Raw genomic sequence first — 15,641 nt, forward strand, 5'->3', positions numbered from 1 at the left:
TAAAGAGGAGACAGATTTGAGATACACTATGGAAGGTGAACTTGCAGGAGACTTGGCTGCAACTTGCAATCATTATTAGATGGGGTCTTGCTATGTTGACCAACCTGGAGTACAGTGACTATTCACAGACTTGATCATAGCACACTATAGCCTTGAACTGCTGGGCTCAAGCAATCCTCCTATCTTAGCCTCCTGAGGAGCTGGGACTAGAGGCACTCAACCCACTGCACCTGGCTAATTACGTTTGTTGTTGTTGTTGTTGTTGTTGTTGTTGTTTTTTGAGACAGAGTCTCATTCTCTCACCCACGATGGAATGCAGTGGTACGATCTCAGCTCACTGCAACCTCCACTTCCTGGGTTCAAGCGATTCTCATGCCTCAGACTCCTGAGCAGCTGAAATTACATGCGTGCACCACCATGCCCGGCTAATTTTTTGTATTTTTAGTAGAGACGGGGTTTTGCCATGTTGGCCAGGCTGGTCTTGAATTCCTGACCTCAAATGATCTGCCTGCGTTGGCCTTAATTACTATTATTTTTAAGACAGAAAGATGTTACACTCAAGAACAGAATGGACTGCCTTTTGTGGCATGAATGTAAGTCTTTCCTACAGGTCCTTCCCCACTGTATGAAGTGAGGCTCTGAGTCAGGGGCCCTAACCAAGAGAAACTGTGGTCACTGAAAAGTCTTGGATTCACCTCAGAGCTCACCTTCTCTCTGTGCCATCATACAGCTAACTACCTCTTGATTAGATGCATGGGGGAGGCGGCTGACATAGTTCCAGCTTGGTTTGCTTGATGATGGCTTGTAGAACGCGAGCCCAGAGGAAGGCGCTTGACTGGTTTGGGAACAGAGAGTTTCTTTCTAGTCCTCTGCTGACCTTCTGCCTACTTGGCTCCAAACTGACAGGCAGGTAGATCACTTGAGGTCAGCAGTTTGAGACCAGCCTGGCCAACATGGTGAAACCCCATCTCTACTAAAAATACAAAAATGAGCTGGGCGTGATGGAGCATGCCTGTAATCCCAGCTACTCAGGAGGCTGAGGCAGGAGAATTGATTGAACCCCAGAGGCGGAGGTTGCAGTGAGCTGAGATTATACCACTGCACTCCAGCCTGGGTGATTGAGCAAGACTCTGTCTCCAAGAAAAAAAGAAAAAAAAAAAAGATGTCCTTTATAATTTCAAAATTACATGTGCTAAAATATTTAAGTAAATAATTGCTATGAATACAAATGTATACAAATGAAATAGTAGGAAGGAACTCCAGCTTCATAGTAATAGAATATTTCTCATCTGTATCGGTTGGCCAGTAGCCCAGAAGTTTGTACAGTATCATGACATTACATCCTACACCTTCAGGCAGATTAAATAGTATTATAAAATATAAGAAACAGCATTGAAGTCCAACTCTTTGAGAATTTTGAAGCTCATAGCTTGAGGCAGAATGGATCCACAGAGACCGAGCAGCATATTATGGTTTGTATTGACTGGAGGATTTGGATTCAGACTAAAAGACAACTTCAAATGAATGGCTGTGTTTTGAGAGCACATTGCTTTGTGAATGCTTTCAAGCTTTTTCTATTTTAACTTCCTCTGAAATCCAAGAGGATGTTTTTACCAAAAATATTTACAAGGAAATGGGAAATTTAAATGATCCCCAAAGGAAACCAATTTTTAAAAACCCTTAAAGACCTATTATTAGGCAAACAAAGATTATACAGAGATCCTTCTCCTGCTGCAAGTCTCAAGGACTTCTTCGGGGCAGCAGTGAAACCTGTCAGGCAGCTATGGAAAAGGCTTTGGATCTCTGTGTGTGCACAGAAGGGCACGGAGGGGAATCTCATCTTCTTAAGATCTTCATCTTTAATATAAGTTTCTGAATTCTTTGCTCTATAAACCAAAAATTTAATCAGAATGTGTGTGGGAGGGGAGAGTGTCTCCTACATCCAGGCGTATGAGATGATCTGAAAACCATGGGCAATATTTACCCATACAGACCATTGTGATGAAGCCATTCTCTAAGTTAATAGATTCTCTCCTTCCTTCCTTCCTTCCTTCCTTCCTTCCTTCCTTCCTTCCTTCCTTCCTTCCTCCCTCCCTCTCTCCCTTTTTTCTTTCTCTCTCCCTTTTTCATTCTTTCTCTTTCCTTCCCTGTCCTCCTCCCTCCCGCCCTCCCTCTCTTCCTTTCTCTTTCTTTCTCTCCCTTCCTCCCTTCTTTCCTTCTTTCCATCTCTTTCTGTTTTTTCATTCTTAAATTTTTCTCTTTCCTAACTTCCTTCCCTCTCTCCTTTCTTCTTTCTTCCTGACTTCCATGGCCATTTACTGAGCCCTTGCTTAGGAGCTGGCGATACAGACAAATAAGTCGGGGCAGCCATTGCCCTTGGGGAGCTCTTCCCACAGACAAACAATGGGAGTGTGTTGGGGTAGACACCCCCCGAACCTAGGGATCCGGTGGTGGGAGAAGGGTGCAATCCAGGAAGGAAAGTTGATGTTTGAATTAAATATTAAAAGCTAAACAAAAGCTTAGTTCCAAAGGGAACTAAGACACTGTAGTCCCAAACAATGAAACTGGCTTGAGTCAAGGATATGGATACACTTCCTATTCTTCAGAAAATTGTCAATGATGATTGTATCTTGACATCACACTTTAAAACATGCAGGGAGAATTTCCTGACAAGATTCTGAAGTATAGACACTCTGTCTTACCAATTGAGAGACTGAGGTCGGGCGCGGTGGCTCATGCCTCTAATCCCAGCACTTTGGGAGGCTGAGGCGGGTGGATCACCTGAGGTCAGGAGTTTGAGACCAGCCTGGTCAACATGGTGAAACCCCATCTACTAAAAATGCAAAAATTAGCCAGGCGTGGTGGCGGGTGCCTGTAATCCCAGCTACTCAGGAGGGTAAGGCAGGAGAATCACTTGAACCCAGGAGGCAGAGGTTGCAGTGAGCTGAGATCGCGCCATTGCACTCCAGCTGGACAACAAGAGCAAAACTCCACCTCAAAAAAAAAAAAAAAAAAAAAGAGAGATTGAGCATATGTTTGATAATCAACGAACAGTCCATTTTAAAAGTTAGACAGGACATATTCCTGAAGCCAGCCTTTCAGGGTTCAAATTCTTTTTCTTCCATTTTATAGTGATTAAGAAGTCTGGGACAAGCAACTTAACATTTCTTGGCTTTGATTTTCTCACCTGAAAAATGGTGATAATTACATTACCTGCCATAGGGTTGTGAGGTTAGAATGAGTGAATGCGTGTAAAGTGATTAGAAGCATGCCTAGCACATAGTTAGCACTCAGTGTTTAGTCGTTATTCTTTTTTATTATCATGTCCTCACAGAGAATCTTTATAGGCAGGGCCAAGATGTTACTCAAACTGTTTTGGGTCCACTTCAAGAAACCTAGAAAAACTGATGATCTAAGTCACAAAGTTCTGTTATAGATCATATCCACAATTATTTACATGAGAACATTTGCAAAACCTGGATTTACCAACTGCAGTCATTAAGAAAAAAAATCTATACATAAAAATGTCTGATTTTAGGCCAGGTGTGGTGGTTCACGCCTGTAATCCCAGCACTTTGGGAGGTGGAGGAAGGTGGATTGCTTGAGGTCAGGAGTTCAAGACGAGCCTGGCCAACATGGTGAAACCCCATCTCTACTAAAAATACAAAAATTAGCTGGGCATGGTGGTGGCGCATGCCTGTAATTCCAGCTATTCAGGAGGTTGAGACACAAAAATTGCTTGAACCTGGGAAACGGAGGTTGCAGTGAGCCAAGATTGCACCACTGCACTCCAGCCTGAGTGACAGAATGAGACTGTCTCAAAAAAAAAAAAATAAATAAATATAAAAGAAGTCTAATTTTAGAAAGTTCAACTTCCTGATGACTGCTCTAAGACAGAGTGGTTGCAACATGGACCCTAGGTAACTCAATGATGTGATCAGCGCTATAGAATATTGGCTGATGTTGGTCACAAAAGTATTTTGGTTTAGAGTGTGATCTTGTGTCATCTTTCTGACAATAATTAAATAACTGAATCAATTGTTGAGGCCTCCATGAGTATGTGACAGGTATCGGTAGAGCCATGTGACCTTGAGTAAATTGCTTAATCTCTCTGCACCTCAGTGTCCTGTAGGAGAGCTGTTCTGGGGTATCAAAGAGCACAACATACATCAGGTATTTAGTGTAGTGTCAGGCACATCATACAAGTTCATTAGAGCTTGGTGTATTAGTTAAGAATTGAATTTACTTGCAGATATAGAAAACACAGGTAACAGTGGCTTAAAGATCTGGGCTTTTTCTGTCACCAAACAAGAAGTGTGAAGGTTGGTGACCCTGAGCTGGACCAGAGACCTAAACAAGCAGATGGATGCAAGGTCTCTGTGACTCTCTGGGCCTTTCTCTCATGTCTGGTCACAAAAGGGCTGCCGCCGCCATTGCATCCATGCTTGCTGCTTTAGGCAGGAACATACAAATCTGAGGTCTGTTCATTTTAACAGAAAATTGGAAAGAATTGGTATGGAAGTGTTAGCTACAGTTAGCTAGAAGTTATACAGCAGTTGATCAACCTAGATCTTCATAATAGCCCTGGAGGTAGGAATGGGAGGTATTATTTCTATTTTACAGATGTAGAAACATTGGCCAGAGAGGTGAAGAAATTTTCACAATGCCATACAAGTAGTCAGTAAGTGGCAGACACAAATTTCTAACTCAGTCCTTGTTCAAGCTATTAGTTCCTAACTCTTAACAGTGCACCAAGCTGCCACAGGGCAAGTCTTTGCTGTAGACTCAAGGATGAGTTTTAAGACAACAAATAAAAGCATTAATGGAAGTCAGTATCATTAAATCTAAATTTAAATAATGTGCTCTAACATACTGGGAGCATCTCTGGGTCTAGGTAAAGAGGAAAGGGAGAGGAAAGCTTAACAACATAAGAAGTAAATGAGATTCAGACATGAAAATCATCCATGGAAATCACCCATGAAAATCAGATATGAAAAGCGTATGAAAATCTAAAGTGCAAAGAAAGAGTTGCTCATGCAATCAAAACTTTCTGTTTTTCTTTACAATGTTTGGGGAATATAGTGTGTGTGTGTGCACGTGCGTACGCGTGCATGTGTGTGTGTTTGTTCAGATGAACATGCGTATGCCTGTGCTCTAGTGAGTGCATTCACACCCATGATAATAGACCCCACCATATTAACCCTAACCCTAAACCTAATCAGAACTAATACCAGATTAATCTTTCTAGGTTATTAATAAAGGCTCTTGGTCTACGTAGATTGATTTTAAGCAAAACTTCCATATTAAAATAGGTTTCTTTTTCATATACATATACATTTGATATGATTTAAGACATTCTGCATAGAGATCTCAAATATTTATTTTAAATTTTATTTCTAGTTATTCACTATTTTTAGATGGAAAAAAGTTCCCATTTATTTATTTATTTATTTAGAGATGGAGTTTCACTCTTGTTGCCCAGGCTGGAGTGCAATGGCACAGTCTTGGCTCACTGCAACCTCTGCCTCCTGGGTTCAAGCAATCCTCCTGCCTCAGCCTCCCCAGTAGCTGGGATTACAGGTGCCGGCTTCCATGCCCTGCTACTTTTGTATTTTTATTAGAGATGGGATTTCACCATGTTGGTCAGGCTGGTCTCAAACTCCTGACCTCCGGTGATCCACCCGCCTCAGCCTCCTAAAGTGCTGGAATTACAGGCATGAGTTACAGCGCCTGGACAAGTTCATGTTTTAAATTGTTTGGATGAGGGCGGGCGTGGTGGCTCACACCTGTAATCCCAGCACATTGAAAGGCAGAGGCAGGTGGATCATGAGGTCAGGAGACCAAGACCATCCTCGCCAACATAGTGAACCCCATCTTTACTAAAAATACAAAAATTAGCTGGGCGTAGTGGCATGCGCCTGTAGTCCCAGCTAGTTAGGAGGCTGAGGCAGGAGAATCGCGGAGACTGCAGTGAGCCGAGATCACACCAATGCACTCCAGCCTGGGCGACAGAGCGAGACTCCTCAAAAAAAAAAAACAGCAAAATTGTTGGATGCATATACATAGAAATTCAATTAATTTTTATATGTTGGCTTTGGATTTAGCAAACTTGCTAAACTCTCATATTAATACTAATAATTTTTCTGTAGATTCTCTTGGATTTTGTATACATACAATCATATAAAATTTGTGAGTGACAATAATTTCATTTCTTCCTTCCCAGTTCTTATACCATTTGTTTCTTTTTCTTGCCTACAACACTGGCTAGGCCACAGTACAATTTGAAAAGAAGTGACAATAGTATGCATCCTTGTTTTGTTCCTGATTTCAAAAGAAAAACTTTCAATGTTTTATCAATAAGTATAAGGTTTGCTTTGGGGATGTGTATCTACTTTCATCAGATTCATAGAGTTCCTCTCTATTCCTTTTTTGATAAGATTTTTATAAATCATGAGTGGGAGTCAAATTTTATTCAATGCTTTTTTGACATCTATTGGGATGGTCATATTATTTCTCTCTTTTAATCTGTTACTGTGATGAATTACATTGGTTGATTTTCTAATATTAAACCAAACTCTGCGATGTCAAATAAAACCAGCCTGATAATTATGTTATCCTTTTTATATATTACTGGAATAAGTTTGCTAACACTTCATTTATAATTTTGCATCTATATTCATGAATGACAATTACACACTGTAATTTTCCTTTCTTTTATAATGTGTTTATTAGGATTTTGTATCAAAATATACCAGCTTCATATTCTCAGGAAGAATTTGTATAAGATTGATGTTATTTCTTCTTTAAATATTTGGTAGTTCTTACCAGTAAACCCATCTGGACCTAGAGGTTTTGTTTTTTGTTTTTAATGGAAAAGATTTAAATTGCCTCTCTCAGTTATGAATTGTTATAGGACTATTTCATTTTTCTATTTCTTCTTGTGTTCATTTTGGTATGTTGTAATTTGGTGAAGAGATTTGTTCATTTTTTTCTAAATTTTTATATTTATTGACCTTAAGTAATTCATGAATCTTGTTTCTTTCTTTAATGACTGCAGGATCTACACTGATGCCTCCTTTTTCTTTCATGATACCATTTGTTTGTGCTGCTTCTTTTCTTTTTCTTTTTTTACTCAGTCTCACCAGAAGTTTGTCTAATGTCTTCAAAGAAACAACTTTTAGCTTTCTTGATGTTCTCTGTTTCCTGTTTCATGAAGGCTTGCTTTACTATTTCTTTGGTTTTAATTTGCTATTCTTTTTCTGTTTATTTGAGATCATGCTTGGGTGATGAATTCTCATTCTTCTTTTTTAAAATACATTTTATGGTTATAACTTTCCTCTAAATACTGCTTCACTTGCATTCCACAAGTTTTAATGTCTTGTATTTCTATTATCATTCAGTATAAAATTTATTCTAAATTTTATAATTTCTTTTTTGACAACTGATTTTTATAACTTTTCAAATATGTAGGATTTCTATTACATTTTTCTTATAAATGTCTAGCTTGATTTTATTGCAGTCAGAAAACATACTCTGATTCCAACTCATTGAAATTTATTGAGATTTGTTTGTGACCTAGCTTACAAAGTAAATGTTCCATGGATGCTTGATTCAAAATGTGATTCTTGGGTGATGTATAGCCATCCAGAAGGTAGAGATTGCTGGTAGTGTTTCTCAAGCCTTATATATCTTTACTGATTTTTTAGATTGTACACTAAAACCCCCCATTATGGTTGTAGATTTATCTATCTCCTGTAGTACTTATGTCAATTTCACTTTATTTTTTGAGGCAATTTTATTAAGTATATACTAATTTAGAATTTTTATATATTACTAATGAATTGGGTTTTTTTACATCATTAAAAGTGACTCTCTTTAACTGTGTGATGATGCTTTTTGCCCTAAGTAGTTTGTCTAATATTAATAGACATCAGTCTTATTTTAGGTAGCATTCACATTATATATCTTTTTCATTTTTTATCTATCAACTTTTCTTTATCTTCATGTTTTTGTTTTGTCTCTTGGGTTTTGTTTTTTATTTTTTATTCAGCCTGAAAATCTTTGACTTTAGTTCTTTGCCCTTAGGAACATTTAGTTCATTTACATCTAATATATTTATGATAATAATTTGTATTTAAGTTTACTATGTTTTCACCCTCTTTTTGTCCCATACATTTTATACTCCTTTTCCACTCCTTTCTTTCCGTCTTTTGTATTAATTTGCTTATTATTCTATCTTTTTTTGTTAATTTATAATTTATACTCTTTTACTAGTCTCTTAGTTGTTCCCCTAGAGTACAACTGACTTATTGATTCTAATGCTATATGGTATTATCACTCTCACTCTGAACCAAAATAAAATCTCAGAACACTTTAATTTCATTTACTCTCAGCTTGACCTATATGCAATTCTTGTAATTTTAATTCTATATGTATTTTAAACCACATAAGGAATTGTTACTGTTGCTTAATGTTATTATCATCCGTTTAAGTTTACTCACACATTTGCTATTTTCATTGTCCTTCCTGCCTCTTCAATTTTACTTGTGGGATTATTTTCTTTTACCTGAAAAGATCAGGTAAATATTTGCCGTTTATTTCCTTTGATGTAGATCTACTGATAGCCAATTATCTCAACGTTCATTTGTCTGCAAATATTTTTTCATTTTATATGCGTTCTTCTTTTTTAGAGATAGGGTCTCACTACATGGCCCAGACTGTTTTCAGACTCATGGCCTTAAGTGATTCTCCTGCCTCAGCCTCCTGAGTAGCTGAGATTACAGGAGCAAGCCACCAATGCCCGGCTTATTTACATTTTTGAAAGATATGTTACGGCATGATTTCTTGACTTTGGCACGCTTTATATTTTTGGCCAGATAACTGTTGTTGGGGCTGTCTTGTGCATTGTAGGACATTAAGCAGTTTCCTTGACCTCTACACATGAGATGACCGTATCACTTCCCTTCTCAGTTGTGTCAACTAACAGTATCTCCTGGGGAGCAAAATTACCTTGGTTGGGAACAACTGGTCTACTGAATATAGAATTCTAATTTCATTTAACATATTTAAGATATAATTTCATTGTCCTCTGGCTTTCACTATTACCATTGAAAAGTAAGCTATATGTCCAACGTTTGGTCTTAGGTACTTTGACTGGCTTTTTTTTTTTTTTTGAGACAGAGTCTCACTCTGCTTTGACTGGCTTTTAACATTTTTATCTCTGATTTTGGTATTCTGTAGCATCACAATGATGGCTATAGTTGTGAATTTTTCTTTATTTAGTTTGGAATTTGTTGGGCTTCTTGAGTCTATGAATGAGGCCTTTCACACGTTTTGAAAAGCAGCCATTAACTCTGTTTTTCTATTTAATTATTTTGAGATATACGTCACATAAAATTTACCACTTTAAAGTGTTATTAGTCAGTGGCTTTTAGTATATTACTATGTTGTGCAACCAACATCATGGAATTGTGTAATATGTGGTCTTTGCGTCCGGGTTCTTTCAACTAATATAATGCTTTCAAAAGTCATTCATGTTGTAGCATGTAATTTCATTCCCTTTTCGGTTAAATGATATTCCATTGTATGGAAATACCACATGTTGTTTATCCATTCTTCAGTTTATAGAAATTTAGGTTATTTCCACCTTTGGGCTATTGTGAATAATACTGCTAAGAACATTCATATACAAGTTTTTGTGTGAACATACATTTTCAATTACCTTGGATATATACCAAGAAGATAATAATTGCTGAGTCATATAGTAATTCTAGGTTTAACTTTTTGAGAACCTGCCAGACTCTTTTCCACAGCGGCTGCATCATTTTACATTTTCACCAGCAATGTATGAGGGTTCTAATTTCTCCAAGCTCTCACCAACATTTGTTATTTTGTACTCTTTTATTTTTTATTTTATTTATTTATTTTTATTTTTTTTTTTGAGACAGAGTTTCACTCTTGTTGCCCAGGCTGGAGTGCAATGGCGAGATCTCGGCTCAACACAACCTCCACCCCCCGGGTTCAAGCAATTCTCCTGCCTCGGCCTCCTGAGTAGCTGGGATTACAGGCATGTGCCACAACGCCCTGCTAATTTTGTATTTTTAGTAGAGACGGGGTTTCTCCATGTTGGTCAGGCTGGTCTCGAACTCCCGACCTCAGGTGATTGCCCGCCTCGGCCTCCCAAAGTGCTGGGATTACAGGCATGAGCCACCACTCCTGGCCTATTTGTACTCTTTTAAATTAAAGCTATCTTAGTATGTTTGAAATGGTAACTCATTATTATTTTGATTTGCATTTTCCTAATGACTAATGATGTTGAACATCTTTTCATATGTTTATTGGCTATTTACATATCTTCTTTGGAGAAATGTCTATTCAAGTCCTTTGTCCATTACTAAATTGGGTTATTTGGGTTTTTATTATTGAGTTGTAAGAGTTCTTGATATATTCTGGACACTAGATCCTTATCATATTTGCAAATATCTTTTTCCCATTCTGTGGGTTGTCTACTAACCCCAAATGACATGTAAGTGAGTAACAAATAAATCTTCATTGTTTTTTCTTTTTGTTTTTGTGAGACAGAGTCTTGCTCTATCGCCCAGGCTGGAGTACAGTGGCGTAATCGTGGCTCACTGCAACCTCCACCTCCTGGTTCAAGCTGTTTTCATGCCTTAGCCTCCAAAGTAGCTGGGATTACAGGCGTGCACCACCGCGCCCAGCTGATTTTTGTATTTTTAGTAGAGACCAGGTTTTGCCATATTGGCCAAGCTGGCCTTGAACTCCTGGCCTCAAGTGATCCACCCACCTCAGCCTCCCAGAGTGCTGGGATTACAGGGATGAGCTACCATGCCCAGCCCAACTTTCACTGTTGTAAGCCACCGAGATTCTAGGGCTGTTATTGACTGCAGAATAACCTTATTAAAATTGACTAAACAACTTGCATCTAGCTTTGTGCGCCTGTACTTTCCCATGCAGTGAGGATTTCTCCTCACTGATTCTGGGTCTATAAATCCTCTTATTTGGATGTTGGATCTCCTGGATCGTTCTTCTATATTCCTTGTCTTTCTCTTCTACTTTCTAAGTCTCAATGTTTTCGCACTTCTCTCTGGAAGATATTGTTAACTTTGTCTTCTAAACCTTCCATTGTGTTTTTATCTCAACTATGGTTTTTTTAATTTCCGAGAGAGTGTTTGTGTGCATTCTCCGAATGTTCTTTAGCTGTGCTTATCTCATGGATGCAATATTTTCTTTTATTTCTGTGAAAATATTAATTATAATTGTTAGATTTTTTTTCTCCCCATCTAACGTTTTCTCCATGTTAGTTGTTACAAGTTACTTTGTTTGTTCATTTGACTTCCCTGTTGGAAATTTCTTCAACTGTCTGCCAGTCAGTTCTTCAGCATGGGAATTTAAGAATTCATTAGAAGCTCTGAGACTGTAGACGGACTTGTCCACTGAGAAGCTCACAGTGGACATTTGTAATGAGCCATTTTACTAGGGAAACTTCAATGTCAGTATCTTTAAGTTGTTCCTTATGAAACTGTCCATTCTCTAGAGATGGATCTCACAGTCAGTCTCTTGTATACGGAGTTTAGGCCTGGCTGCCAATGTTTTGTGTTTTGAGAACCAAATGTAGAAAAATGGCAAGAAGGGACCAGCCTGGACAACATGGTGAAACTCCGTCTCTATTAAAAATACAAAAATTAGACAGGCATGATGGTGGGCACCTGGAATCACAGCTACTCGGGAGGCTGAGGCAGGAGAATCACTTGAACCGGGAGGTGGAGGTTGCAGTGAACCAATGTTGCGTCACTGCACTCCAGCCTGGGCAATAAGAGTGAAATTCCATCTCAAATAAATAAATAAATAAATAAATAAATAAATAAACATGGCGAGAAGGAAAGGAGAGCTGTCTTAGCATTTAGTGTAAAATTTTTAGTTAATCACACTGTTTTAATAATGAAACTCCCTTCTTCATTTGGAACAGGTGTCCCCTAGTTCAACAACCAAAATTTCATCCACCCCAGAGAGTATACTTCCAGCTTTCTGTTCAGGTGAGGAGGGAGGATTTGCCCCCATTGAACAGAGCTGAGTATGAAATATGAGTGTCAAACTTCTAATTGGACTTTCAACAAATCCTCCTGTTTTAGACCCATTTTTGCCACCTTCTTCCAAAGCTTCCAGGGGCCTGCTAATTGTGGCAGTTCTGCGATATAATTTGGGTTGTTTCTTGGTTTTCCTTATTGCCAATTTAGGACCAAACCTCTCAGTTCTGTTAGGCAGCTTACTGTTCATGAATGCTATTTTCAACTTTCATAAAAGGAATGTTATGTTCTTGTTTGCTTCCTCTTTATTCTTGATGGTTTTCAACAATAATTTTTAAGAAATTCATTTACTGTCTTTTTAATAAAATTTCATGAGGAAACAAATACAAATGTGTGTGTCTCCCATCCTTAACCAGAAGTCCACCTTCTTCTCTCTTTAAAATTCTGATATAGAAAAAACAAAAACAGGCCAGGCACAGTGGCTCACGCCTGTAATCCCAGCACTTTGGGAGACTGAGGCGGGTGGATCACCTGAGGTCAGGAGTTCAAGACCAGCCTGGGAAACATGGTGGAACCTCAAGTCTACAAAAAAAAAAAATACAAAAATTAGCTGGGCATGATGGTGGGTGCCTGTAATCCCAGCTACTCAGGAGGCTGAGGCAGGAGAATCACTTGAATCAGGGAGCTGGAGGCTGCAGTGAGCTGAGATTGCACCATTGCACTCCAGCCTAAGCAACAGAGCAAGGCTCAGTCTCGAAAACAACAACAACAAAAATAAATAAATAAACAAAATTAAAAAACTCTGTGGCGAGTGTATATCATCTTATGGTGAAATATTCTATGCATCCAAAGGCAGAGTGTGTCAGCTATAGCCATTCATTCTAACAGGAGTGTGACATTTGTAGGGAAAAGTTTTTTGCTATTCGACTGCTATCATTGAATTGGATGTATGCTGAACCATTGACCACTAGGATTTGTGGCAACCTGGAGATTTCCTGATTCTAGGATCTGTGCTGTGATCTGACAGCATGTTTTCTGGCTACATCAAGTAGTTGTTTCTAGGCTTTGTTCAAATCTTTTTCCTTTCCCTGTGTGACTGGCTGTATCTGTCTCTATAATGCCACCATATACAAGTTGATATGGTTTGGCTGTGTCCTCACCCAATTCTCATCTTGAATTTTGGCTCCCATAATGCCCACGTGTTGTGGGAGGGACACAGTGGGAGATAATTGAATCATAGGGGTGGCTTCCCCTATACTGTTCTTGTGGTAGTGAATAAGTCTCATGAGATTTGATGGTTTTATAAGGGGTTTCCCCTTTCACTTGGTTCTCATTCTCTCTTGCCTGCCTCCATGTATGATGTGCCTTTTGCCTTCCACCATGAATGAGAGGCCTCCCCAGCCATGTGGAACTGAGAATCCATTAAACCTCTTTTTCTTTATAAATTACCCAGTCTCGAGTATGTCTTTATCAGCAGTGTGAAAACGGACTAATGCATAAGTGAATCATACATTTTGGTGTCAAATATTTCTTGCTTTTCCCATATAGTACAGCAAAGAAGGATATCAGCTAGAGGAAGCAAAGAACTGGATGGATGATCCAACCATCTGCCAAAAGATAAATTCAAATAAGGTATCAGCAACAAGTAAGATCAAACAGAAATAAACAAGATGATTCCTTCTCCTGAAAGACTGATAGCCATATTGAGTAAAGCTAAGGAAAGGGAGAATGTCATGTGTGGAGCTCATGGCAGCAGAAAAAAGTACAGACACCACGGCAAAGCCACTGAAGGAGATCTGACTGCATTAATGAGCCATTTTATTAAATGGGTAGTTGGCAAGAAAAAAAGTTTATTCAATAAGTTGGCAACACCAAGTTAAAGAGAGAAGTTAAGTAGGTCATTAAGACACCACAGTCACTAATATTTAGAGCTTGAACATAGTATGAATTGGTTGTCTACAGAGAGTTAGAAAAGGTGCCAAGACACATAACTGAGTGATGGCCAATCAAGGGTGTTTTGTTTCTTTCTGAAACAAAGCTGGGAACAATGTTTTTCTTGTTGTTGTTGTTGTTGTTTTTAATGTAGAACTGGTGGGGTCAGTAAGATATTGCTGCCCATGTCTAGTATTTTTTTTTTAATTTTTGTCTTAATATCATATGGAGGCATGCTGTTACCTATAAATTTACCTATAATTTCTAAATTTAAAAGGAATCCTCAAAATAATCAGAAGAAAATTCAACAGATACTATTGAGATCTCTTTTTGCTCTGTTGATCCATTTATTTCTTCAATCAGTAAGTTAGTGGTGCTTTCTTTTCCTTTGATTGGCAGGTGTTTCATCAGATCTTCTGGGATACTTCTAGTTAGGAGTAAGATTTCTAACTAATTAAAGTGAATAAACACATTTTTTTTCAAAATAATGTACCCTGTTACATAGAAAACAGGGCTTGAAAGGAATTGTTAAGAACCATTCGCCTTATTAATATGTTATTTTTTTGGTGCTGCCAAGGGCATTGGGAACTTCAGTCCTTTGCAGTAGAATTCTTAGCTTCTAGGTGAGCGTGCCTCTAGGCTGGAATAATTTAGTCACCTGGCTTTCCTGTAACTCTTATTATTTTTGGCTTCATGAGGTAGTATTCATACAGAAGTGGTCCTTTTCCATTCCCCAAAAGTCTTTTGTAGGACACTGATAATCTCTTTTCTTTCCCTACTTGTCTACATGAAGTGTGCAAAAATCTCTGGTCATATCCAGGATTTTTATACAAATAAGTAGGTTACAGTTAATATTCCAGTTTCGCTTTTTTTTCCCAAATAATTTAGGGTTTAAGATTGTTATTTCTTGGGTTATCAGGACATAGCTCTCCCTTGAAACTAGCTTATTAGATGTGAACAGTTGGTACTGCTTTTTAATAATTCTGGTGAGGAAAACATTGTAAATTATCCTAGAGTCAAATGTGATATAATTATTATAGAAGGTCACTTTCACTATTTAAAACATTGAGTTGATTATATTTAAATCAAAAAAGATATTAAAGGTGAATAAATTTCACATATTAAAACCTCAAACCACATGCATATAATGCTTTTTAGTGCCCACAAACACCAACCAGAAAGTGTGTGATTAGGTTCACTTTTTCAAGCACCTTTATTTGTTTCCTCTTGATTCACCTAATCACTTTGACAGGGGGGAAATGGGGAGGGGGAGCAGCTTCAAAAAGTTTCCACAGTGGACCATGAGTTATTTAAATCCATCTCACAGAATCCATTTCCCATGCACTGAAAGCCCTGTGACATTTCCAGAACTGCTGTTTACTTTGGGATGTGAGAGATGTTAAAATTCTTTGTGTTTAAACCACAACATTTGTGAGTGGCATGAGACGAAGACTCATGGCAGGTTGTAAGCGGTTGGGCAACCCCTACCGGAAGGAAACAGGCTATTGAATTACTGGACTCAAGAGCAGGCAAATCCATCTGGGGTGGCAAGCCCAGGAAAGGCTGCCAAGAAGGACTTAGAACCACTCTTCGCCCTTCCCTGCCTGAGTATACTCATCGAAAGGACCCTGTGTGTCTATCTTCATTAGGGCAAAGAGATCAAAT

At 38.4% G+C, this 15,641-nt stretch overlaps 1 protein-coding gene and 1 long non-coding RNA gene across 3 annotated transcripts in view; one reads left to right on the plus strand and one right to left on the minus strand.

Annotated features, from left to right (window-relative positions):
* Positions 1-15,641, plus strand: part of CLDN10 (claudin 10) — a 146,005-nt gene that overhangs the window by 81,182 nt on the left and 49,182 nt on the right. The gene's annotated exons all lie outside the window — the stretch shown is intronic.
* Positions 1-15,641, minus strand: part of CLDN10-AS1 (CLDN10 antisense RNA 1) — a 54,467-nt gene that overhangs the window by 35,493 nt on the left and 3,333 nt on the right. Inside the window, exon 2 of the long non-coding RNA NR_046533.1 lies at positions 13,556-13,651. This is a non-coding gene — a long non-coding RNA (CLDN10 antisense RNA 1). The remainder of the gene's footprint in view (positions 1-13,555; positions 13,652-15,641) is intronic.

The sequence above is a fragment of the Homo sapiens genome, chromosome 13 (genome assembly GCF_000001405.40).
Source record: "Homo sapiens chromosome 13, GRCh38.p14 Primary Assembly".
In the NCBI taxonomy this organism is placed as follows: Eukaryota; Metazoa; Chordata; class Mammalia; order Primates; family Hominidae; genus Homo; species Homo sapiens.